At 45.6% G+C, this 27,417-nt stretch overlaps 1 protein-coding gene across 1 annotated transcript in view, besides 1 other annotated feature; it reads right to left on the bottom strand.

Annotated features, from left to right (window-relative positions):
* NLRP5 (NLR family pyrin domain containing 5) overlaps positions 1–27,417 on the bottom strand; it is a 75,036-nt gene that overhangs the window by 26,764 nt on the left and 20,855 nt on the right. Inside the window, exons 3-9 of the mRNA NM_001433705.1 lie at positions 26,194–26,259; positions 19,249–19,305; positions 15,649–15,705; positions 14,616–14,672; positions 6,538–8,134; positions 2,266–2,436; positions 1,338–1,505 (exon numbers count right to left, since the gene is read on the bottom strand). Coding sequence (NP_001420634.1) covers positions 1,338–1,505; positions 2,266–2,436; positions 6,538–8,134; positions 14,616–14,672; positions 15,649–15,705; positions 19,249–19,305; positions 26,194–26,259 — 2,173 coding nt within the window. The remainder of the gene's footprint in view (positions 1–1,337; positions 1,506–2,265; positions 2,437–6,537; positions 8,135–14,615; positions 14,673–15,648; positions 15,706–19,248; positions 19,306–26,193; positions 26,260–27,417) is intronic.
* Positions 7,278–8,477: an enhancer, noted in NCBI's record as "BRD4-independent group 4 enhancer chr19:56537936-56539135 (GRCh37/hg19 assembly coordinates)". NCBI's record gives its function as "activates an origin of replication core promoter dependent on BRD2, P300/CBP, MED14 and CDK7 cofactors, and independent of BRD4, by STARR-seq in HCT116 cells {active_cell/tissue: HCT116}" and the evidence as "EXISTENCE:reporter gene assay evidence [ECO:0000049][PMID:35650434]".

Below are 27,417 nucleotides of genomic sequence, written 5' to 3'. Positions count from 1 at the left end.
GAATTGCCTGAACCAGGGAGGTGGACGTTGCAGTGAGCTGAGATCATGCCACTGCACTCCAACCTGAGCAACTGAGCTAGACTCAGTCAAAAAGAAAAGAAAACTATATAAACATTAAATAGTTGTATCTCTAAACCAAGCTAATCTAATGAAAAAACCACCTTCCCAGGACTTACAAACCACAGTAAGAGCCACAAACTGGGACCGACCAACCAACCAACCAACCAACGTGTCCCTGGATGGTGAATGGTTAAACTGTGGTACTCCATAGCATTGAATGGCCATCATCAACAGAAAGGAAGAAAGTGTGTAACACTTGACTGCTTGGGTGGATCTCAAGCGCTGATGGAGCAAAGCCAGTTTCAGGCGACGATGTACCACACCGATTTCACTTTAAGAGCATTGTCAAAATGACAAGGTTATACAGAGATGGAAGACACACGTGGCTCCTGAGGATTAGGAATGGTGCGGTTAGGGAGGGGTGTGTGACCCCAGAGCATCTTGGTTACTGTGACTGTTACACAAATCTAGATGTAATAAACTGCTATAGAATAATGTACACACACCATACCAGGATCTGTTTCCCAGTTTTGATATTATGCGATAGTATGTAAGATTAACCACTGGGAGAAACTGCCAGAAGGGCACTTTTTTTCCTTTGAGACAGAGTTTTGCTCTTGTTGCCCAGGCTGGAGTGCAGTGGCACGGTCTCAGCTCACTGCAACCTCCGCCTGCCGGGTTCAAGAGATTCTCCTGACTCAGCCTCCCGAGTAGCTGGGATTACAGGTGGCTGCCACGCCTGGCTAATTTTTGTATTTTTGGTAGAGATGGAGTTTCACCATGTTGGCCAGGCTGGTCTTGAACTCCTGACCTCAAGTGATCTGCCTGCCTCGGCCTCCCAAAGTGCTGGGATTACAGGCGTGAGCCACCGCGCCCGGCCCAGAAGGGCACATTCAACCTCTATACAATTAAAATCTCGCTGGGTATGGTGGCTCAAGCCTATAATCCCAGTGCTCTGGGAGGCCAAGCGGGGAGGACCACCTGAGCCCAGGAGTTCAAGATCAGACTGAGCAACCAAACGAGACCTTGCCTCTGCATGAACAATTTTTAATGAAACTGAGTTTTTTTAATTGTGATAAAGTATTTATAACCGAATGCACTATTTTAACTATTTAGGTGTGCAATTCAGTGGCACTCAACTCCTGCAATCGTCACCACCATCCATCACCAAAACTTTTCCATCTTTGCAGCTCTTTAATTTTTGCCACTTTATGTAATCATTTCAAACACAAGTAAAAACGAAGAAAAACAAGGCAAAAGCTCTACCAGAGACGTACCTCAAAGACTCCAACAAACATTTTGGGTGTTTTAAGGCTTCACACGCCATCCTTACATCCTCTTCCTTCAGGTGGGTGCCTCCCAAGTTGAGGGATCTTAGGTTACGGTTGGCCATGACGATTCTCCAGAGGTGCTGCACACCAGGGGTAATCTGTGCATTTCTAAACCTGCAATGGGGAAGGGGAGACACATTCGACACTGGTGATGTTTAGTTGTATCCTCATTTTTCCTTCCCATCCTTCTCCCATTCTAACTTGCAAATTTCTAATTAATTGTATTTCCTTTTAAAACAACGAATACCTGAGTGCCTGTGATGGGCCAGCTACTGGGAATGGTGTATGAAAGAGTATTAACAATCCCTGCCTTGGGGAGCTTAATCCATCCAAACCCGTCCAAACCTGGTGTCAAGGAGCCTGCTTCAGTAACATCAGCACAAGGTTTTTTTTTGTTTTTTGTTTAAGATGGAGTCTCACTCTGTCACCCAGGCTGGAATGCCGTGGTGCGATCTTGGCTCACTGCAACCTCCACCTCCCTGGTTCAGGCAATTCCCCTGCCTCAGCCTCCCAAGTAGCTGGGATTACAGGCACGTACCACCATGCCCTGCTAATTTTTTTTTTGTATTTTTAGTAGAGATGGGGTTTCACCATGTTGGCCAGGCTGGTCTTGAACTCCTGACCTCAGGTGATCCACCCACCTCGGCCTCCCAAAGTGCTGGGATTACAGGCATGAGCCACTGCGCCCGGCCGATCACAAGGTCTTTAGCGACTCCCCACTCTGTGCTTTTGGGAACTTGGTTCCTACACCTTTGGTGGCACTTATGCCCTCAGGCTGCACTTGAAAGGCTTCAGATGGGTCTCTCAGGAGGTAGGGGAGAGCTGGGATAGCGTCATGGGAAGGGATTCTCTCGTAGGGGGCGGGCAGCCTTACATCAGGGTCTGTATCTTGCAGGTGGGATGCCTCAGCTTGGCACACAGGGTCTTCATGGCCCGCTCTGTCAGGATGCTGCTGCCCAGGTCCAGCTGCCGCAGGTGTGGGTGGGTGCCAAGCATGGAGCAGAAATCTTCCCACTGCTCCTCAATGAGGGTCTTATCCCGCATCCTATGTCAGGGGGGATAGAAACATGGGCTCATGGGATGGAGTTTAACATGAGCAGTCGTGGCAACACGTCGGAGGAGAGGGACCGAGCTCTCGAGGTGAGACCACGGTGGCTTTAGAGGCCCTGAGGCAACTTAGCGGCTGCCATCACACTTTGCATGACTAGCCCGGTGTCCACCCTGCCTCCCGGATATACCGATACCCGAGGGGGTATGCAGGCATGACTGGGAACCGCCAGCTCCTGAATCAGATCTTTTTTTTTTTTTTTTGAGATGGAGTCTCGCTCCGTTGCCCAGGCTGGAGCGCAGTGGCGCAATCTCGGCTCACTGCAACTTCTGCCTCCTGGGTTCGAGCGATTCTCCTGCCTCAGCCTCCCGAGTAGCTGGGACTACAGGCGCATGCCATCATGCACAGCTAATTTTTGCATTTTTAATAGAGATGGGGTTTCACCATGTTGGCCAGGATGGTCTCGAACTCCTGATCTCATGATCTGCCCCCGCCTTGGCCTCCTAAGGTGCTGGGATTACAGGTGTGAGCCACCACCGTGCCCAGCCCTGCATCAGATCTTTGCTTCAATTCCAGCCCCACTTGAACGTAAAACTGTGCAACAGCTGTGGAAAACAGTACAGAGGTTCCTAAAAAAATATTAAAATAGAGCTACCATAGGACCTAACAATCCTACCTCTGGGTGTATACCCGGAAGAACTGAGATCAGGATGTGGAAGAGGTGTTTGGTCTCCCACGCTCACTGTGGCATTTTCATAATAGCTCAGATCTGGAAAACTTACATGTCCATCCATGGATGAACAAAGAACATGTGATACATATGTTAATGGAATATTACTCGTCCTTAGAGGAGGACATTCTACCGTTTTTGACAGTGTGGATGAACCTGGAGGATATTATGTTAGGTGAGCTATACCAGTCACAAAAGGACAAATACTGCAAAATGCTGCATGAGTCTACATTTTTTTTTTTTTTTTTTTGGAGACGGAGTCTCTATCTCCCAGGCTGGAGTGCAGTGGCATGATCTTGGCTCACTGCAACCTCTGCCTCCCAAATTCGAGTGATTTTCCTGCCTCAGCCTCCCAAGTAGCTGAGATTACAGGTGCCCACCACCATGCCTGGCTAATTTTTGTATTTTTTTAGTAGAGATGGGGTTTCACCATGTTGGCCAGGCTGGTCTCAAACTCCTGACCTCAAGTGATCCACCCACCTTGGCCTCCCAAAGTGCTGGGATGACAGGCGTGAGCCACCAATACACTGGGCTCATGATTCTACTTTGAAATGTCTAAAATAGCAGAAAGTAGAGTGGAGGCTGCCGGGGGCCTGGGGAGCAGGGGAGATGGAGTTATCGTTTCATGGGCATGAAGGGTCAGTGATGTGAGATGAAAAAGTTCTAGAGATCCATTGTTCAATGTCGTGCCTGTAGTTAATATTGTATCGTACACCTAAAAATTGGAGCAATTAGTCTCCCGTCCACTGGCAATCATCTCCTGTCTGAGTTTATACCTTCCCACGTGTCTGAGTGTATACCTTCCCACGTTTGTGAACAGGGAGCTAACCTCATGGGTTTGCCCTCAAGAATAAAAGAAAAATAGAGGCCGGGCGCAGTCGCTCACGCCTGTCATCCCGGCACTTTGGGAGGCCAAGATGGGAGGATCACAAGGTCAGGAGTTCAAGACCAGCCTGGCCAATATGGTGAAACCCCATCTCTACTAAAAATACAAAAGTTAGCCGGGTGTGGTGGTGGGCAACTGTAGTCCAGCTACTAGGGAGGCCGAAGCAGGAGAATCGCTTGAACCCAGGAGGTGGAGGTTGCAGTGAGCTGAGATCGCACCACTGCACTCCAGCCTGGGTGACCGAGCAAGACTCCGTCTCAAAAAAAAAAAAAAAAAAGAAGAAGAAAGCGAATGAATGTAAGTATAGCACAGGGTAGCTGTGAACACAAGTAGCTTTGACTTTTTATGATATGTAAATTTCCCATCTCAGTGCTTAGCCTGTGGCTGCGCACGTTTTCAGCCAATCTACAGGAAAATTGCCCAGGCTGTGACTCCTCTTGGCTGTGGAAAGAACAAAGTAACGGGCAAGCTGTTCTTTCTTTCTGCACTGACATGAGCTCACCTCCTAAAAAGCAAGCATTTGTACTTGTTTTCCAACCAAAGGTAGCTGCCCTGTTATCAAGGCCTTAGCACACAGCAGGTGCTGTGCCAGACCTCTTCCATGTGAGAATTTTTTTTTTTTGAGATAGAGTCTCACTCTGTCACCCAGGTTGGAGCACAGTGGTGCCATCTTGGCTCACTGCAACCTCCGCCCGCGGGGTTCCAGCAATTCTCCTGCCTCAGCCTCCTGAGTAGCTGGGATTAAAGGCACCCACCACCACGCCCCACTAATTTTTGTATTTTTAGCAGAGATGGGGTTTCACTATGTTGGCCAGGCTGGTCTCGAACTCCTGACCTAGTGTGATCCACCTGCCTCAGCCTCCCAAAGTGCTAGGATTACAGGCATGAGCCACCGCGCCCAGCCCCATGTGATAATTTGAGGCTTTTTTTATTTTTTGAGATGGAGTCTCACTCTGTTGCCCAGGCTGGAGTGCAGTGGCGTGATCTCGGCTCACTGCAACCTCTGCCTCCTGGGTTCAGGCAATTCTCCTGCCTCAACGTCCTGAGTAGCTGGGATTACAGGTGTGCGCCACCATGCCTGGCTAATTTTTGTATTTTTAGTAGAGATGGGGTTTCACTATGTTGGCCAGGCTGGTCTCGAACTCCTGACCTCGTGATCCACCCACCTCAGCCTCCCAAAGTGCTGGGATTACAAGCATGATCCACTGCACCCAGCCTGTCCACAGACAGGGTCTTACTTTGTTGCCCAGGCTGGTCTCAAAAACCTGGCCTCAAGTAATCCTCGTCCACCCAGCCTGTCCACATTCGTCACTGCTGTGTTCTGGGTCATAGGAGGATGACACTGAGACAGTCCAGCAAAGTGTGTTTTCTAGACCTGCACTATTCAGCAAGCATCAGCTATGTGTGACTATTTAAATACAAATGAGGCCGGGCACAGCAGCTTATGCCTATAATCCCAGCACTTTGGGAGGCCAAGGCAGGTGGCTCACCTGAGGTCAGGAGTTCGAGATCAGCCTGGCCAACATGGTGAAACCCTGTCTCTACTAAAAATACAAAAATTAGCCAGGTATGGTGGCACTGCCTATAATCCCAGCTACTTGAGAGGCTGAGTCAGGAGAATCGCTTGAACCCGGGAGGCAGAGATTGCAGTGAGCAAAGATCATGCTGCTGTACTCCAGCCTTGGTGACACAGTGAGACTCTGTCTCAAAAAAAGAAAAAAATACAAATGAGTTGAAATGGAGTGAGATGAGTTTCACCTCCACAGTCTCACTCACCATGTTTCAGATGCTCAACAGGCTTATGAGGCTGGTGGCTGTCCTACTGGACAAGGCACATGGAATATTTCCATCACAGAACCCTCTACTGGACAGCACGGCCCTGGACACCATACCAAATAAGCAGTCCACAAACCTGAGCGGTCACATTCATGGGAGGGGCTTGCTGATGCCTGTAATCCCAGCACTTTGGGAGGCTGAGGCGGGTGGATCACCTGAGGTCAGGAGTTCGAGACCAGCCTGGCCAACGTGGCGAAATCCCATCTCTACTAAAATTACAAAAACTAGCTGGGCATGGTGGTGCATGCCTGTAGTCCCAGCTCCTCGGCAGCCTGAGGCAGGAGAATCTCTTGAGCCTGGGAGGTGGAGTTTGCAGTGAGCCGAGATCGTGCCACTACACTCCAGCCTGGCAACAGAGTGAGACTCTGACTTAAAATAATAAAATAAACCACATATTCCTGGGTTTCAACCCCAGAGCCTTTCCTTTAGTCTTAGGCGGGGCCCTGTATTGTGAAAGACCTTTCCCAGGTGTGGACAATGAGCCAGATTCCGGTCCTGGCATTTTAGCCAGCTGGACGTCATCTGGGCCATTCATCCTGAAAGAATTCTCTGGGACCTTGAAGTTCCTGGAAGTCATGTCAAGTCCCAGCAGTAGAGACACAGAGCTCAGCACACGGCATAGGATAAAACTGCCTGGGGTACTCACCATAGAGGGACCACAGGACATGCCTCAGCGGACTCATCTCTTGGGAAGATCCCTTTGACATCCACCCGAATTTTCCGCAAATACGGACAGTGCTGGAGGCAGAAGGAAGATGCTATCAAGTCCAGGTTCTGGTTAATCGGAAGCCACACTTCTTGGAAGCTGTTTAATGCCAAGCGAACAAACTCTTTGTCTTGAGTCTCGAAAAGACAGTGGAAGGCGTCCAGGGTGTCTCCTGGGGTGGTGGCATTAGGCTGCTGACCCAACAGAGAGACCCAGTGCAGAAGCTTCTGCTTCACCCCCAGGGGAACGGGACAGCCCAGCAGGACCTCCAGTGGCCTCCTTACGTCTTCGCTCACGAGGCCAAACAAGAAACGCTTCATCCAAAGCGAGTGGATATGGAAGCCTGCCTGTTTAAGCTCCATGGACCTCTTTGTCTTCTCAACGTACAGAGGGCAGAGAGCTGGCTCGATTTCCAGGCCCTCTAACACGTAGTACAAGGCGGCACAGAAGTCCTGGAGACTGAGGTGGAAGAAGGTGTAGTACTCCTCACAGTGGCTGTCTGGGAGAAGGATGTTCATGTGAAACAGAGCACGGAGCTCAGACTCCCCGAGTCCTTGAACCATGAGGTCGTCACCGTCAAACACTGACTTCCTATTCCACACTCCCTCCACAGCCATACGGCAGAAGCGCTTCAGGACAACTCTTTCCTCCAGATTGAGACAGCGCCGGACCACGCCTCGAGGGGTGAGCTGATGAAACACAAAAGCGGCGTGCAGGCCTGTGAGCGTTTGGTTGAAGGGGGCGACGCTCTCCCCCACCACGTCCTGCAGCTGCAGGGCCACGCAGATGAGAGAGCCCACGGCGGGCACCTGGCACTGGTCGAGCAGCTCACGGTTGTTCATGATCGCACGCAACCCTTGTGTCTTCTGATGCTCACCAATCCCGCGCTCAAGGAGCAAGTGGATTCTTTGTTCCCCGGAGATTCCTCTAACTAACAGGTAACGGGGAGACACGACCTCTGACTTGAGCTTCTCTGTGCCCACGTCTCTGACGGTGACGATCAGGAAGGACTCAGGGAGCAGGACCTTCCTCAGCAGACTGCGTATGAGGGTGAACGGAGGCTGCTTCTCAGCCCAGTCTTTGCAGAGCTTTGTGTCATTGTTGAGGACAGAGCCCAGGTCATCGAAACCGTCAATGATGAACAACAGCCTTTCTGGTCGGGACATGATCTCCGTCACCGGAGCCTGGGAGTCTGGCCACTCCCTGGAGATGAACTCTGTGACACTGCTCTCCTTCTTCCGCTGCATCTCTCTAACGGGGAGGAAGAAGACGTAGGAGAACATTCCCTGGTAGAGTCCACCTTGCGCCCAGCACAGCACGATCCTTCTGGCTAGAGCCGATTTCCCAATTCCTGACTTTCCGTGCAGAACCACCGTGCGAGGCCGGAAGCCCCACCGGTCTGAATCAAAAGCACCAGCCAACGTTTGCATTTCCGGCCAGTCAGCAGCAGTGTTTTCAAAACTACGACGTACATCCTCCTCCTCAGCGAATTTGGTCATCACGTGACTCTTGTAGTCCCATGTGTCACCTCCATGTCCTGGAGTCAGAGAGGGTAGAATGAAAATCAGGAAACAGACCAGGCACAGTGGCTCGCACCTGTCATCCCAGCACTGTGGGAGGTCAAGATGGGCATATCACCTGAGGTCAGGAGTTTGAGACCAGCCTGGTCAATGGCAAAGCCCCGTCTCTAATAAATACAAAAATTAGCTAGTCATGGTAGTTGGCACCTGTAGTCCCCAGCTACTCAGGAGGCTGAGGCAGGAGAATTGCTTGAACCCGGGAGATGGAAGTTGCAGTGAGCTGAGATTACACCACTGCACTCCAGCCTGGTCACAGAGCGAGACTCTATCTCAAAATAAAAATAAAAATAAATCGGGAAACAAAATTTGAAGCCAGTCTATTTTTTTTTTTTTTTTTTTTTTGAGATGGAGTCTTGCTCTGTCACCCAGGCTGGAGTGCAGTGGCGCAATCTCAGCTCACTGCAACGTCCGCTTCCTGGGTTCACCCCATTCTCCTGCCTCAACCTCCTGAGTAGCTGGGACTACAGGTGCCTGCCACCACGCCCAGCTAATTTTCTGTATTTTTAGTAGAGACGGGGTTTCACCGTGTTCGCCAGGATGGTCTCAATCTCCTGACCTAGTGATGTACCCACCTCGGCCTCCCAAAGTGCTGGGATTACAGGCATGAACCACTGCGCCCAGCTGAAGCCAATCTGAATTTTAGTAAAAATATACCTCACAGAAACCCTGGACCGAGCATCAGTGGGGCCTGAGTCAGCCTCCAGACATGGGTCTTGTTTCTTCCTAGCCAGGTGCTGAGAACATGCTCACTCTTCGTTCCCTACTTTAAAGGCCTCAAAAGCTTCTTAACAATCTACAAAATAGCTCTGCTTCCCTTGTTCAACCCGATGTCCCTTTTTGCACTGGGGACCTGATGGGTTACGCTGTATTTGCTGATGGTCTCCCCCCGTAGAATCTAAACATGGACTTTCTTACTCACTCTTGGACCTTCAGTATTTATGACAGTGCCTGGCACTCTGTGGGAAATCAAGTATTTGTTAAATGAATGATGTATGCCAACATAAGTGGCCTTGGGGAGGGGGAGGGGAACTTGAGGGAGCCACGGATGCATGTACCATGGCCCCAAGTTCTACACCTGTAGGACAGGTGTGCCCCTCCTGTTCCATCCCTTGGTTTCCCCCACGCAATGGGGGAATCCTGCTGTACATAAAGAGGGGAATGGCCGGATGTGCTGGCTCACCCCTGTAATCCCAGCACTTTGGGAGGCTGAGGCATGTGGATCACAAGGTCAGGAGATTGAGACCATCCTGGCTAACACAGTGAAACCCCGTCTCTACTAAAAATACGAAAAAAAAAGTTAGCCAGACATGTTGGCGGGCGCCTGTAATGCCAGCTACTCGGGAGGCTGAGGCAGGAGAAAGTCATGAACGCAGAAGGTGGAGCTTGCAGCGAGCCAAGATTGTGCCACTGCACTCCAGACTGGGCGACAGAGCGAGACTCCATCTCAAAAAAAAACAGAGAGACAGAGAGAGAGAGAGAGAGAACGGAGCACGTTCCTTGAGGTCAAACAGATCCCGCCTGGAACCCAAGCTCTACGGTAGAGCAGTGATCCCCAACCTTTTTGGCACCAGGGACCGGTTTTGTGGAAGACAATTTTTCCACACACCGGGGTGGAAGGGGGTGGTTTTGAGATGACTCAAGCACATTATGTTTATTGTGCACTTTATTATGATTACATTGTAATATATAATGAAATAATCATACAACTCACCATAATGTAGGATCAGTGGGAGCCTGAGCTTGTTTTCCTACAACTAGATGGTCCCATCTGGGGGTGATGGAGACACTGACAGATCATCAGGCATTAGATTCTCATAAGCACGCAACCCAGATCCCTCACATGTGCAGTTCACAATAGGGCTCATGCTCCTGGAAGAACCAAATGCCACATCCGATCTGACAGGAGGCAGAGCTCAGGTGGTAACATGAGTCATGGGGAGCAGCTGTAAATACAGATGAAGCTTTGCTCCCTCCTGCTATACTGCCTGGTTCCTAAGAGGCCACCCTACAAGTCCATGGCCTGGGGGTTGGGGACCCCTGCTGTAGAGCATCTGTATGATTTGATACAAGCTGCTGTTCAGTTTCCCCACCTGATGAAGATTTTTTTTTTTTGAGACACAGTTGCAGTCTGTTGCCCAGGCTGGAGTGCAGCAGCGTGATCTTGGCTCACTGCAGCCTCCATCTCCCAGGTTCAAGCAATGCTCCTGCCTCAGCCTCTCAAGTAGCTGGGATTACAGGTGCCTGCCACCATGCTCAGCTAATTTCATGTGTGTGTGTGTGTGTGTATGTATATATATGTGTATATATACATATATACACATATACATACATATACATATGTATACATATACATACACATATACATATACATATGTATATACGCATGTACGTATACACACGTATATATGTATGTACGTATATATAAATATATGTATATGTGTATATATAACATATATACATATATGTACATATATGTATATATGTTATATATACACATATATATATATTTGTTCTTTTTTTTTTTTTTTTAAGCAGAGATGAGGTTTCACCATGTTGGCCAGGCTGGTGTTGAACTCCTGACCTCAAGTGATCCGCCCACTTCAGCCTCCCAAGTGCTCGGGTTATAGGCATGAGCCACTGTGCCCGGCCCACCTGATAAAGATTTAAGAATATGCATTCAACATTAGCACAGGGCCTGAAAATGTGAAAAAATGAAACTTATCACAAACTATAATTATTTTATACCACCTGACATTTATCACAAACTTCAACTCTTTTATGCATTTAGTTTTTGTCAGCCCCCTAGCTTATAATGTAAGCTCCATGAGAAAAATACCTTGTCTTTTTGCCTCAATAGTTCCAGCCTCTTCAGCCTCTGATATCTGATAGGTACTCAATGAACGTGAAAAAGATTCATATCCTGGGACCTTAAGTTTACTGGTACTACTATTTACCTTAAAAAGGCAGCAAGAGTCTCTCTGCACAAATGTGTAATACAATTACTAACTGTATGCAAAGTCTCCACATAAAAATTCTAGAACTTACACTTCATTGTAGTTGTATCCTCTGAATCAGTCCAAGATGGGTTCCAGGACATCCCCAAATGACATCAAAATCTCCAGATACTCAAGTCCCTGATATAAAATGGTATAACTGCATATAACCTACGCACATCCTCCCATGTAGTTTAAGTCATCTCTAGGCTGCTTATAATATCTAACACGATGTCTACACATTGCTTCATTTGTGTGGATTCTTCCCACGTAGGTTAAGTCATCTCTAGGCTACTTATAATATCTAACACGATGTCTACACATCGCTTCAATTTGTGTGGACTCAACGCACCGCTCAGCATGTAGCAAATTCGGATTTCGCTTTTTGGAACTTTGTGGAGTTTTCCTGAATATTTTTGATCGATGGTTAGTTGAATCCATGGACACAGAACCCATGGGAAACGGAGGGCCGTCTGTCGTCCACATCAGGGGACGTGTTAACAGAGCCGTGTTGAAACCACGGGAAGCACACCTTAAGACTAGAACCTCTATTTGCTGAGCTCAGACCGACCTGTTGTCCTCAGAGGACTGGCAGTGCCACTGGAATGTAGGTTTTTACAGAGGGAGGGAAACCCCAGGAAGCCAGTCTGCATTCAAACTCAGGCCTCCCTCAGTTCTTCCTCAAACACCTCTTTTTCTATGGATTTAATTATCACGTCTATACTTCAGGGTTCCCATCCTCTCCTTCGTGAGGGCTTCTTTCCTAAAATTCCAGACTTGTGTGTCTAACTCGCCCCTTTAAGGGGTCACAGGGCCTCAAATTCAAAGCATCAAAAACTCATCTTTTGTCTCGCTGGGTGCAGTGGCTCACGCCTGTAATCCCAGCACTTTGGGAGGCCGAGGCAGGCGGATCACCTGAGGTTGAGAGTTCGAGACCAGCCTGACCAATATGGACAAACCCCATCTCTCTACTAAAAATACAAAATTAGCCGGGTGTGGTGGCACATGCCTGTAATCCCAGCTACTCGGGAGGCTGAGGCAGGAGCATCGCTTGAACCTGGGAGGCGGAGGTTGCAGTGAGCTGAGATCGCGCCATTGCACTCCAGCCTGGACAACAAGAGCTAAACTCAGTCTCAAAACAAAAAACAAAAAACCTCATCTTTTACTTCTAACAAAAAATATTCTCTCATAGGTTTTTTCTAAGTGATAACAAGAAAAAAAGGTTGTGTTTGTGATCCTACTTTGGAGCAGATGATGAGCTCATTGTTTTCCTTGTTTTACATAAATTTAATTGTGGCTTCCCATCAATCCGGTATATGGTAATTTGTTCATTTATATAGTAGGGATTGGCTGGGCGTAGTGGCTCATCCCTGTAATCCTAGTGCATTGGGATGCTGAGATGGGCAGATCACTTGAGGCCAGGAGTTCAAGACCAGACTGAGCAACATAGCGAGACCCCCTGCCCCCTCCTTTCTATAACAAATATGAAAATTAGCCAGATGTTGTAGCATATGCCTAATTTCCAGCTACTTAGGAGGCTGAGGCAGGAGGATTGCTTCAGCCCAGGAGTTAGGGGCTGCAGTGAGCTGTGATTGTGCCACTGTACTTCAGCCTGGGCGACACAGCAAGACCCTGTTTCAAAAAAGGGGTGGAGTGGAGAGTGTATCTCCCCTTACTAGGTTAGCGTGAAGGTGTCTTGACAATCAAAATGTGGAGAACAGTGCCTAGACCAGAGTAATTATTCTAAAAATGTCACCGATATTTGTGTATATTATTCGTCCCAATTTAAAGTTGACAACACTGGCAACCATTAGTTTTTCAAATATTGGTTGAGTGAATGATTATGTAGCTCACACAGGATCAACATTACATTGCACAGGTGGGATAATAGCCCAGCTTGAAGCTGTCTCAGAGCTCAAAATGTTAGTCACTGACTCCTGGCATCACCACCCACCAGATCGTTCCAGAAGAAAGGTGAGAGCAATTCCCAGAGCCCCTTTTTTCAGAACTCTGCCAATCACCAATTCCAGTTAGCTTTATATCTTCAATATCTCATGCTAGTCAAGTCACTTCTTTCCATCACTGCCTCCTAGGACATGAGTGTTCAGGGAACACTGTTAACAGCCCCAAAGTGAGAAAAAAGCCAAATTCCCATGAACTGAACAACAGATGAAGAAAATGGGGTCTTTCCATACAATGGAATATTATTCAGCAACAAAAACGAAGTGCTGATAGACACTGGAACACGGGCTTTGGAACTTTATGCCAAGTGAAACATGGCCAGTCACAGAAAACTACATATCATATGATTCCATCTACATGACCGATCTGGAATCGGAGAGTTTAGAGATACAAAGTAGATTAGTGGTTGTCCAGAGTTTTGAGGGAGAGGAAACTGGTGACTGCAAAGGGGTATGGGGTTTCTTTTTGGGAGAAAAAAAATGTCTTGGAATTAGTGATGACAGTTGGATAACTGAATAGACTAAAAATAATTGAATCATATACTTCAGGAGGGTCAACTTTATGGTATATAAAATCCTAATTATATCTCAACAAAAAAGCCTCAATCAACAGTTTCTCAGGGAAGCCTGCTCTTACATCTTTGGCTGTTTAATCATCATCCTGCAAAGTTATAGCACTTTAGACTCATCTTCATTCCATAAGGTTTAGCTAATGTGTAAGTCTGGATGATAAATGCCATGAAGGCAGCTGGGCACAGCGGCAAATGCCTGTAATCCCAGCACTTTGGGAGGCTAAGGTGGGCAGATCACGAGATCAGGAGTGCGAGACCGACCTGGCCAATATGGTGAAACCCCATCTCTACTAAAAATACAAAAATTAGTCGGGCATGGTGGCAGGCCTGTAATCCCAGCTACTCGGGAGGCTGAGACAGAAGAATCGCTTGAACCTGGGAGGCAGAGGTTGCACTGAGCCGAGATACCGCCACTGCACTACAGCTTGGGCGACACAGCGAGACTCCTTCTCAAAAAAAAAAAAAAAAATGCCACGAAGGCAAGACATGTTTTTCTTACCACTGTAATTCCAGCACAATTCTTCAATGGCAGGTATTCATGTACATATTAGTTGATAGAAGGAATTACAAAAATAATTACTACCACTTAAGTTTGAAGACAGCATTTGACTACTCTTGGCCATATGTTTAACATCCATCAAACAAAGTTGTGATTGATTCGAGTCCCCTAGAATTATGGGTTCTTTAGAATTTTGTCTTCATAGTATCTGACTGTAGATAATCACAGTGAACTTGCGTAGCTCTATCCATGGTACTGATCAAGAGCTTGAAGGGAAGGGGTTGACACCAGAGACAAATGAGATTGAAGAAAGGCAATCTAAACTACATACCCTTGAAATCTAAACTACTTACACTTCTTTCACCCAACTTTCTTCCAGGAGGGCAACCAAGGAATACATCTATTTTCCTCACCTTGTTCTTCTGTCTCTGCTGCTGTGGCACCTTCTTGTTCCATAGCTTGTGAAATTTCTGCAAAAGAATGAATTCCAACATACTTGTGTTTATTATTCGAGTCAGAGATGTCAGACACCCCCAAGATAAGCTTAGTCATGCCATATTTATTTTCTGGCCAGTTGAAAACATGACAACCACCGGCTCAACTAGAAGACAGAGTGCACTGGTACAATGAGCACTAATTCAAAGCTTGAGGGTGAGGGTCCTAGGCTCATTTCTCCTTGAAGAGACTTGCACAAGTTATTAAAATGAGGGGTAGGTCGGGCGTGGTGGCTCATGCCTGTAATCCCAGCACTTTGGGAGGCCGAGGTGGGCAGCCGAGGTCACGAGTTCGAGACCAGCTTGGCCAATATGGTGAAACCCCATCTCTACTAAAAATACAAAAATTAGTCGGGCACAGTGGCAGGTGCCTGTAATCCCAGCTACTCGGGAGGCTGAGACAGAAGAATCGCTTGAACCTGGGAGGCAGAGGTTGCACTGAGCTGAGATCCCGCCACTGCACTACAGCTTGGGCGACACAGCGAGACTCCTTCTCAAAAAAAAAAAAATGCCATGAAGGCAAGACATGTTTTTCTTACCACTGTAATTCCAGCACAATTCTTCAATGGCAGGTATTCATGTACATATTAGTTGATAGAAGGAATTACAAAAATAATTACTGCCACTTAAGTTTGAAGACAGCATTTGACTACTCTTGGCCATATGTTTAACATCCATCAAACAAAGTTGTGATTGATTCGAGTCCCCTAGAATTATGGGTTCTTTAGAATTTTGTCTTCATAGTATCTGACTGTAGATAATCACAGTGAACTTGCGTAGCTCTATCCATGGTACTGATCAAGAGCTTGAAGGGAAGGGGTTGACACCAGAGACAAATGAGAATGAAGAAAGGCAATCTAAACTACATACCCTTGAAATCTAAACTACTTACACTTCTTTCACCCAACTTTCTTCCAGGAGGGCAACCAAGGAATACATCTATTTTCCTCACCTTGTTCTTCTGTCTCTGCTGCTGTGGCACCTTCTTGTTCCATAGCTTGTGAAATTTCTGCAAAAGAAGAATGAATTCCAACATACTTGTGTTTATTATTTGAGTCAGAGATGTCAGACACCCCCAAGATAAGCTTAGTCATGCCATATTTATTTTCTGGCCAGTTGAAAACATGGCAACCACTGTCTCAGCTAGAAGACAGAGTGCACTGGTACAATGAGCACTAATTCAAAGCTTGAGGGTGAGGGTCCCAGGCTCATTTCTCCTTGAAGAGCCTTGCACAAGTTATTAAAATGAAGGGTAGGTTGGGCGTGGTCGTTCGCACCTGTAATCCCAGCACTTTGGGAGGCCGAGGCGGGCAGATCACCAGAGGTCAGGGGTTCGAGGCCAGCCTGACCAATATGATGAAACCCCATCTCTACTAAAAAATACAAAAAGTTAGCCAGGGATGGTGGCACGTGCCTGTAATCCCAGCTACTCAGGAGGCTGAAGCAGGAGAGTAACTTGAACTTTGGAGGCAGAGGTTGCAGTAAGCTGAGATCATGCCACTGCACTCCAAAAATAATAATAAGAATACAAAAATTAAATGAGGGGCAAAACCTACAGTTAAGAATTAAGGATCTTAGGATCTTAGAGCCAGATTTTGTGGTACATGCCTGTAGTCCCAGCTACTTGGGAGGCTGAGGCAGGAGAATCACTTGAGTCCAGCAGTTTGAGGCTGTAGTGAGCTACGGTCATGCTTGTGGATAGCCACTGCATTGTAGTCTCAGCAATACAGCAAAACTCTCTCTCTTAAAAAAAGAATTGGATTTGAATTAGACACAGGATTCAAATGTGAGTTGTCATAAACTATTTGTAAGATCTTCATCAAGTTACTGAAGTTAAATGTTTCTGTATGCTCATCTAGAAAAGCAAAGAAATTGTTCTTATGTTGTCGAGTTGCTGTGGAGATGATTTGGTAGAGTAATAACACAGCCTCTGGCATATAGTAGCTACCACTGACTGAGAATAACCACTATATATATTTATCAGGAAATAGTTACCATGTGAGGCTAAATACAAATTCGTCTTAGGATATATGAGAATAGATTTGCCATTTTAAAGAACAATCATTAGGGTGGTCTTTGTCTTGTCAATTAGAGAAAAATTATAGATTTTTTAAAATCACAAACAGAATAAAAACCACTTAAGGATTTTTAAGCATGGGAATCAAGTTACAGGCGTAAATTTTTAGATCGCCTTGGTTATTGTATGAAAAATTGATTGTATGTAAAAGTGGATTGCGTTTGGGACGCAAATGAAATGCCTTCAATAACCCATTGTGTATATACACCACAGAAATACAGAAGATGGGAAGAACTGTGTAAAAATGGGTCATATATTACGGGTAGAGACCATATGATCTTCTGATTTGCTAGATATATGGTGGAGAAAATAAATATTAAAAAATACAGCTACTAAGGAAGTCAAGGCACAAGAACTGCTTAAACCTGGGACGTGGAGGTTGCAGTGAGCCAAGATTGCGCGACCGCACTCCATCCTGGGAGACAGAGTGAGACAAACAAACGAGCAAAAAACGACTAAGCTTTTGGTGTAAACGACCAGGCACATAGTGACGCTATTTACCGATATGGAAAACAGTGAAGGCAGATATCAAACCAACGCTCCACCCAACAGCAGAAAACATGCCCTTCTCAACTGCAAACAGACCTTCTTCAAGATAGATACATCAGGCATAAAACATGCTTCAAGTTTATGTTCCTTGAAATTATACAAAGTATGCTCTCTTAACACAATGAAATAAGATTAGAAATCAGTCAGAAAATTTGAAAATTTCCAAATATATGGAAGTGAAGCCACACGATCCTCAACAGGTCAAAGGGGAAACAAAAGGGAATTAAATACTTTGAAATGAGTGGAAACAAAACACAGCAATATTTACAGCGTGTAGGTAGAGCCGTGCATAAAGGAAAATTTATAGCCATAAATGCCTAAGAAAGATCTGAAATATAATATAACTTCCCACCTTAAAGTAGGAAAGAACCCCCTTTTGGGGTTAGTGAGTAGCAAACTCACCCCAAAACAGGCAGAGAAAGGGAATAAAGAAATAAACAAAATACAAGATGGAAATACCATAGAGAAAACAAACCTACCAGTTTGTTCTTTGAAAAGAACAAAATTGACAGACCTTTAGCCAGACTGACCAAGGAAAAAAAGAGACAGCTAAAATTACTGGAGTCGGGAATGAAAGAGGGTCACAACTAACAGCCTTAAAGAAATGAAAAGGATTTTGGCCGGGCGCGGTGGCTCACGTCTGTAATCCCAGCACTTTGGGAGGCCGAGGCGGGCGGATCACGAGGTCAAGAGACTGAGACCATCCTGCCTAACACGGTGAAACCCCATCTGCACTAAAAATACAAAAATTAGCTGGGCATGGTGGCGCATGCCTGTAATCCCAGCTACTTGGGAGGCTGAGGCAGGAGAATCACTTGAACCCAGGAGGCGGAGCTTGCAGTGAGCTGAGATCGCGCCACTGCACCCCAGCCTGGGCAACAGAGCAAGACTCCCTTAAAAAAATGTGGTGTATATACACAATGGGTTATTCAGCTCTAAAACATACAGGAAATTCTGTCATTTGCTACAACATTGAGGAACCTAGAGGACATTATGTTAAGTGAAGTAAGCCAGGCACAGAGAAATACCAGAGGATCTGACACGTGGAATCTAAAAATGTCGAACTCAGAATTGGAGGGTAGAACAGTGGTTACCAGAGGCTGGTGGGGCAGAGAGTGGACCGGGAAAGTTGGAAAACATTAGTCAACAGGTACAAACTTACAGCTAGACAAGAGGAGTAAGTTCTGGTATTCTATTGCACAACGTGGTGACTGGTTAATAACAAAGTCTATTTCAAAATAGCTAAAAGAGGATTTTAAATGTTCTCAGCACAGCTGGGTGTGGTGGCTCAAGCTTGTAATCCCAGCACTTTGGGAGGCTGAGGTGGGTGGATCACCTGAGGTCGGGAGTTCCAGACCAGCCTGACCAACATGCAGAAACCCTGTCTCTACTAAAAATACAAAATTAGCTGGGCGTGGTGGTGCATGCCTGTAGCCCCAGCTACTTGAGAGGCTGAGGCAGAATAATCGCTTGAACCCGGGAGGCGGAGCTGGCAGTGAGCTGAGATCACACCACTGCACTCCAGCCTGGGCCACAAGAAAAGAACTCCATCTCAAAATAAATAAATAAGTAAAAATAAAATGTTCTCAGCACAAAGAATATTTGAGGTGATGGATACACTAGTTACCCTGATTTGATCATTCTACAATATATGCGTGTATTGAAACCTCACGCCCCATAAGTATATACAATTCTTATTTTTCAGTTAAAAATAAAAAACTGTAGTGAAAATAATCGTAGTGAACGTGCAAGGTTCTGTCCATGGTGCTGATCCCAAGATCTCTTAGGGAAGAGGGACTCACACACCAGAGACAAATGAGGATGAAGAAAGGGAAAGTGGATTTCCCCGTCCTTTGAACTACATGAACTTCTCTCACCCAACTTTCTTCCAGGAGGGCAACAAATGAATAGATCTATTTCATTCACCTTGTTCTTTTGTCTCTGCAGCTGTGGCACTATCTTGTTGCACAGCTTGTGAAATTCCTGCAAAAGAGAAGGGAGAAGAATAAACACAAACATACTGTGTATATTATTCAAATCAGAGATGTTGGACACCCCAGATAAACTTAGTCATGCCATAGTTAATTTTCTGACCAGTTTAGAGCACAGAACCACTGGCTCAGCGCCAGGGCAGTGTGCGCCAGTAACATAAGTACTAGATTCAAGATCCGACGATTCAAAATCAAAAGTATTTCTATACACTGGCAGTAAACAAAATAAAATGAACAATGCCAGGCACAGTGGCTCACTCCTCTAATACCAGCACTTTGGGAGGCCGAGGCAGGCGAATCTTTTGAGGTCAGGGGTTTAAGACCAGCCTGGCCAACATGGTGAAACCCCGTCTCTACTAAAAATTCAAAAAATTAGCCAGGCATGGTGGCGTGTGCCTGTAATCCCATCTACTGGAAGGCTGAGGCAGGAGAATTGCCTGAACCCAGGAGGCAGAGGTTTCAGTGAGCCGACATCACACCACTCCAGCCTGGGCAACAAGAGTGAAACTCTGTCAAAAACAAACAAACAAACAAAACAAAACGAAAACAAAACAAACACTCCACTTATAATGGCATAGAACAAAATATTTCAGGACAAATTTAACAAATGAAATGAGAGACTTGTATCCTGAAAGCCACAAACGTAACCAAAAAAAATTAAGAAAACCCTAAATTAATGGAAAGACCACCTTGTGTCCATGGGTTGAAGACTTAATGTTGTTACTGTGTCATATACCCAACATTAATCTACATGACATAATGCAATCTCATCAAAATCCCAGCTACCTTTTTTTGCTTGCAGAAATTGTAAAGCTGATTGATACTAAAAGTCACATGGAAATTCAACAGACCCAGAATAGCCAATCTATCTTGAAGTCAAGTTGGAGAATCACACTTTGAGTTCAAAACTATAAAGCAATAGTAGTTAAGTCAGTGTGGTTCAGGCACAAGGTCAGATATAGAGATCAATGGAATAGATTGGAAAGTTTAAAAATAATCCCATACATCTGTGATTTTAGACAAGAATATCTAGACAATGATAAAGAATAGTGTTTTCAATAAATATTGCTGGAGAACTGGTTATCTACACACAAAAGGATGAAGTTGAACCCTCTACTTCATGCTATATACAAAATTAACTCAAAATGTTTAAAGACCTAAATGTTTTTAAGAGCTGTAACTACAAAATCCTTAAGAGGAAATATTGGTGTAAACCTTCTGATTTTGGGTTAAGCAATTTTTTTTTTTTTTTTTTGAGATGGAGCGTTTCTCTGTCACCAGGCTGGAGTGCAATGGCACGATCTTGGTTCACTGGAACCTCCACCTCCTGGGTTCAAGCGATTCCCCTGCCTCACTCTCTCAAGGAGCTGGGACTACAGGAAAGCGCCACCATGCCTGGTGGATTTTTTTGTATTTTAGTAGAGACAGGGTTTCACCATGTTGGCCAGGAGGGTCTGGATATCCTGATCTTGTGATCCACCGCCTTGGCCTCCCAAAGTGCTGGGATTACAGGTGTAAGCCACCGTACCCAGCTGGGTTAAACAATTTTTTTAAAGATATAACACCAAAAGCACAAACAATCAAGGAAATAAATTTGTCTTGTAAAATAAAAGCCCGCTGTGCTTCAAAGGACAGTATCAGCAATGTGAAAAGACAACTCAGAGAACAGGGGAATATATAAAATTATGTCTCTACATAATCTAGATGATAAAACCTAAGTATTGCAAGTCAACAATATAATGAAGTTAAAAAAGGACCAAGGATTTGAATATACATTTCTCTAAAGACACAGAAGTAGCCAATAAGCACACGAAAAGATTCTGAACATAATTAGGGAAATTCAAATCAAAACCACAGTCAATGTTTCATAACTACTAGGATGGTTACAATGAAAAATAGTGGAGCAAACGTTACTGTAGCTTTCATTAAGGTGTTGGTGAGGATGCAAAATGGTGCAGTCACTCAAGAAAAACCATTTGGCAGAGCTCCTCAAAAAGTTAAACACAGTTGCCATATGACCCACCACTTCCACTCCTAGGTATAGGCCTCCCTGAATCAAAAACACATCTACACAAACACACACGTGGGAATCCATAGCTGCATCGTTCATAATAGCAAAAAAAAAAAAAAAAAAAAACCCAAATGTCCATCATGTGATAAATGAACAAGAAGCGGTATATATATAAAAGGAATACTGTTCAGCCATAAAAAGTTATGAAGTCCTGAGACAGGCTATGATATTGACAAATCTTTAAAACATTATGTTAAAATCCCAGCACTTTGGGAGGCTGAGGTGGGCAGATCACAAGGTCAGGATATCGAGACAATTTTGGCTAACACTGTGAAACCCCGTCTCTACTGAAAATACAAAAAATTAGCTGGGTGTAGTGGTAGGCACCTGTAGTCCCAGCTACTCAGGAGGCTGAGGCAGGAAAATAGCGTGAACCAGGGAGGCGGAGGTTGCAGTGAGCCGAGATCGCACCACTGCACTCCAGCCTCAGCAACAGAGCACGACTCCATCTCAAAACAAAAACAAAAAACAAAAACATTATGTTAAATGAAGAAAGCCAGTCACACAATATAACAAAGTGTCTGATTTCATTTATATGCAAAGTCCAGAAAAGGCAAAATTCACAGACACAAAGTGGATGACTGGTTTCCAGGGGCTGGGTATGGGGAGTGATGGCTAATAGGTATGTGGTTTTCTGGGGTGATGAAAATTTCCTGAAATTAGGTAGCAGTGATGGTTACACAACTTTGTTAATACAATAAAACACTGAATTGTATTAAGATGAATTTTATGATATATGAATTTTCTCTCAACTTTAAAAAAGCAAGGAAAGTATATAAAGAGATTACAGACCAGTTCACTCAAACACAGACGCCAAATTTGAAGTGACTTATCAGCAAACTGTATCAGAAGTGTATCAAAGGTATGTAATGGTGCTTATATCACAGGTATTCCAGGAAAGCAACAGCAGTTTAACACTTGAAAGAAGTCTGTAAGTGTCATTCATTACAATATCAGGTTCTGGGAAAATAATTGTAAGATCGTTCCAAGGAAAATAATTGTAAGATCGTTCCAAATTATGCAAAAGTAAGACAGGCCAATTTTCTCCATCTTGTTGTCTCTGCTGAAGGATTTTTTTTTTTTTTTGGGTTATGGAAATGTCCTAAGACTGGATTATGGTAATAGGTTCATGTTTATAAATTTTCGAATTGTATTCTCAAGATTTTACGATATGTAAACCTGCATCGAGTTATCCGGAAAAAAAAAAAAAAAAAGGCCAAGGCGCAGTGGCTCATGCCTGTAATCTCAGCACTTTGGGAGGCCAAGGCAGGTGGATCACGAGGTCAGGAGTTCGAAGGCAGCCTGGCCAACATGGTGAAACCCCATCTCTACTAAAAATACAAAAAATTAGCCGGACATGGTGGCAGGTGCCTATAGTCCCAGCTACTTGGGAGGCTGAGGCAGGAGAATGGTGTGAACCTGGGAGGTGGAGCTTGCAGTGAGCCCAGACTGCACCACTGCACTCCAGCCTGGGCGACAGAGCGAGACTCTGTGGGAGAAAGAAAAAAGAAAAAAAGCAGCCACTACGGGAAGAACACCTTTCCTTGTGGGGGTGGATTTATATTAGGAGCTATGTCTTGAGCATCATAATACATTCAATCTATTAGACTAAATAGATTCACCATGTAAGAGATGAAAGAATCTGAACTTACATAGAATTTATAAGATCTAGGCTGGGTGCGGTGGCTCATGCCTGTAATCCTAGCAGTTTGGGAGGCTGAGGTGGGTGGATCACCTGAGGTCAGGAATTCTAGGCCAGCCTGACCAATACGGTGAAACTCCATCTTTACCAAATACACAAAAATTAGCCAGGCACGGTGGCGCGCGTGTGTAATCCCAGCTACTTGGGAGGCAGACAGGAGAATCGCTTGAACCTGGGAGGCAGAGGTTGCAGTGAGCCAAGATCAAGCCATTGCACTCCAGCCTGGGTGACAGAGCGAGACTATCTAGGCGGGAAAGAAAAAAAAAAAAGACATAGGAAAAGAAAAAAGATCTAACACAAAGATGACATCTCAGTCTGGAAAGAAAAAAAAAATCAGGCTTTCTGTTGGCTGATCTTCTTTGGGCAAATCTGTCTCTCTGGGCTTTGTAGTCGTCATACGTACGATGCTGACTTCGGATGGATGTATCTTATTGTCTTCTCTAGAGTTTTGTAATAGATTTACAGAAATAAATTTCACAAATCATACAATTCACCCATTGAAAGTGTGCAATCATGATTGAGAATATTCACATTGTAACCATCAGTACAATTTTAGAACATCTTAATCACCCTCAACGAGAAAAACCCTGCCCTCTTAGTCCTCACCCTCTAAGTTTCCCCATTCACCCCAGCCCTAGGCAACCACTAATCTAGTATTTAAATGGATTTGCCGATTCTAGACATTTTATATGAATGGAATCATTCAATATATATCTTTTTGTGATGGTTTCCTTCACTTAGCCTAGTGTCTTCAAGGTCCATCCATCTTGTAGCATACATTAATGTATGTGTGTATATATATTTTTTAAAGACATAGTCTCATTTTATCACCCAGGCTGAAGTGCAGTGACACAATCATGGCTCAATGCAGCCTCAACCCCCCTGGACTCAAGCAATCCTCCTGCCTCAGCTTCCCAAGTAGCTGGGACTATACGTGCACACTCCCACACTCAGCTAATTTTAATTCTTTTGGTAGACGTCGGGTCTTGCTACATTGCCCAGGTTGGTCTCGAACTCCTGGGTTCGAGCAATCTGCCTGCCTCAGCCTCCCAAAGTGCTGGGATTACAGGTATGAGTCACTGTGTCCAGCCACATCATTCCTTTTTATGCCAAATAATATACTATTGTATACATGGACCACATTTGATTCTATAGCTTGATAAAAAAAAAACTGCATTTATTGGGTTGGCTTAGTTTCAAGGGACTTTTTTTTTTTTTGAGACAGAGTTAAGCTCTTGTTTCCCAGGCTGGAGTGCAGTGGCTCACCACAACCTCTACCTCCTGGGTTCAAGTGATTCTCCTGCCTCAGCCTCTTGAGTAGCTAGGATTACGGGCACATGCCACCACGCCTGGCTAGTTTTTTTTTTCCTGTATTTTTAGTAGACATGGGGTGTCTCCATGTTGGTCAGACTGGTCTCGAACTCCCGACCTCAGGTGATCCACCCACCTCGGCCTCCCAAAGTGCTGGGATTACAGGCGTGAGCCACCGCGCCCAGCCTTTGAGGGACATCTTTCCATACCCAGCCCATCAGGAGCAACGACGAAGGCCTGTGATCCCCTATGATGTAAGCTCCTTGAGGGTAGAGTGTCTGTCTCTGATGGCCTTCATCTTTGTACGTGGATAACACCTGCAGTCAGGTCTTTCTGGCACAAGCCCACCTTGCCTCAATTTAACCATGTGAGACTTTGGTGTGCATTGAGCTTCTGGGTCTCGCTGCATGACTAACGACAGCCAGTACCACAGAGGATTGAGAAGCATGGACTAAAGCACTGGCACGGTGCGTGATCCAAGTGGTCTCAAGAAGTGGTAGTTCTCGTGTCCAGGAGCAGCTCAGAGGGATCTCCTAACGTGGCTGATGGCAAGACCCCCGGCTTTTGTCAGGTTTGTTTCAGTCCTACTATCAAGGTTACTCTGTGTGTTTATTTTACGCTCTAAGCCACCATTTGGTAACTTATAAAACCTCTGAGACGCAGTCTTATCACATGAAGGATAACATGTCACACTCACCCGGTGAAGCCTAGATTGACATCAAACTCTGAGCAAAGTAGAACCTTTGGGATTCAGAGCCTCTGATTCAGATGCCAGTTACTCAGATGTTAGCTTTGAAGAGCTCTTTCCCCACCCACAGCCTGAGCAAAGCTCCATCAAAACGAGGTTGGCTTCAACCCCTTCCAAACCAGATTAGGTTTCACGGTCAACACTGGCTGCTGGGAGCTGAGCAAGATGGTAGCGGCGCAGGTAGCAGAGGAGAATTCATGGTGTCTATGCAGCCTGCCTTTCTCCCTGTGTGTTTTGCCTTCCCTTGTGTCATCTTAGTTTTTTGGTTTGTCTTTCCTGTCCCACAATGTGTGAATTTCATGAACACGTATGCTTTGGCCAACGATGTATTGTAAATACGCAGAGCAGTGGCTGGCATGAGGTCAGTGCTCTAATGTTTGGGGAATTGTATTGAATCTGGTTTCATGCTATCTGATTCTTTCCACCAAAGCCTCCTACTGGGTTATTGGGAGGAGCTTGTCATAGTGGGGTCATAAGGTTACCCAAACTGAAGACGATGGGAAGTCCTCAAGTTGTAAGAAAGCCTGAAGACCACAGAACTCTTTTTTTTTTTTTTTTTTTTGAGATGGAGTCTCGTTCTGTCGCCCAGGCTGGAGTGCAGTGGTGTGATCTCGGCTCACTGCAACCTCTGCCTACCGGGTCCAAGTGATTCTCCTGCCTCCACCTCCCAAGTAGCTGGGATTACAGGCACCCACCACCACGTCTGGCTATTTTTTTGTATTTTTAGTAGAGACGACGTTTCACCATGTTGGCCAGGCTGGTCTTGAACTCCTGACCTCAGGTGATCTGCCCACCTCAGCCTCCCAAAGTACTGGGATTACAGGCATGAGCCACTAGACCTGGCCCCAGGCCACAGAACTCTTCAACTTGGAAAGAGAAATACCAGAATTACCAGATCCTCAGAACCCATCCGGTCAGCTAATGTAGGGTAGTTAGACTAGAAAGAACACTAGACTATCAGAAGTCATGGTTCTAATGCCTAGAGATGCAAACTGGCTGCCATGTGTCTTTAAGCACATCCTATTTCCCCCAACTCCACCCCTCTAACCTGGCACTTTTTCCTTGCTTGGTCCTTGGTCAGTCATCGTTGCTTCAGGATCTTCTGGTGAATGTCCTGGAAGACAAAGAAAAAGGGAGACTGGCCTCAATGAAGTCACTGTAATTACCCAAGCCAAGGATAAGAATGTCCCGTGTCCAAATTATGGAGGGGAACCAAGACAAACCTCAGGATCTCAGTTTATTCCATGATTGGCCTATAACGGAGACAACAAAGTCAGACTTTCCTGAGCCAGCAGAAGCACACTGAAGAAACAGAGGTTTGTGAAGAATTCTCTGGCCGTTTTGCTGGATGGCCTTGGGTAAGTCACACAATGAGGTTAATTGTGGTGATTAAGTTTCTTTTCAGGAGTCCTCCTCAAGACCTGTCTTGAACTCCAGACCCAGTTAGTCAATGACTCACTAGATGCCTATGAGTTACCCAAATACAGGTACCTTCAACAACTTACAAGGTCCAAGATTGACTACCCATCCCCCAATCTACTTTTTGCAAAACATCTCTTCCATGGGGTGAGGCCATGGAACCCCATCCACCCAGTTTATCATGCCAGAAACTTGGGGATCACCCATGACACTGCGTTCTCTCTCTCTGCATTTAGTTCTTAAAAACTGTCTTGTGGCCAGGCGCGGTGGCTCACGCCTGTAATCCCAGCACTTTAGGAGGCTGAGGCAGGTGGATCACGAGGTCAGGAGATCGAGACCATCCTGGCTAACATGGTGAAACCCCGTCTCTACTAAAAATACAAAAAATTAGCCGGGCGTGGTGGCGGGCGCCTGTAGTCCCAGCTACTCGGGAGGCTGAGGCAGGAGAATGGCACGAACCCGGGAGGCGGAGTTTGCAGTGAGCCGAGATCGCGCCACTGCACTGGGCGACAGCCCAGCCTGGGCGACAGAGCAAGACTCTGTTTCAAACACACACACACACACACACACACACACACGCACGCGCGCACGCGCACACACACACACACACACAAACTGTCTTGTACACTTTGGAAGCATCTTCCATTTCTACTTCTTTCTGTGCCATCATCCTATTCCAAGCCACCTTTATTTATCTCATGGACAGTAGAAAGACCTCAAACTCGTCTCCCTGTGTTTATTCCACAATCCCCTCTGGGTCACTCAACACTTTTGCAACAGTGCTGAAAGGAAAGTTTGATGATTTCTATTACCACCCCTTTCAAACTATGTAATTGCTTCTACTTGCTATTAC

The sequence above is a fragment of the Homo sapiens genome, chromosome 19 (genome assembly GCF_000001405.40).
Source record: "Homo sapiens chromosome 19, GRCh38.p14 Primary Assembly".
NCBI classification, from domain to species: Eukaryota; Metazoa; Chordata; class Mammalia; order Primates; family Hominidae; genus Homo; species Homo sapiens.
The sequence above is the reverse complement of the archived record's forward strand: the minus strand, read 5'-3'. Positions and strand labels throughout refer to the sequence as shown.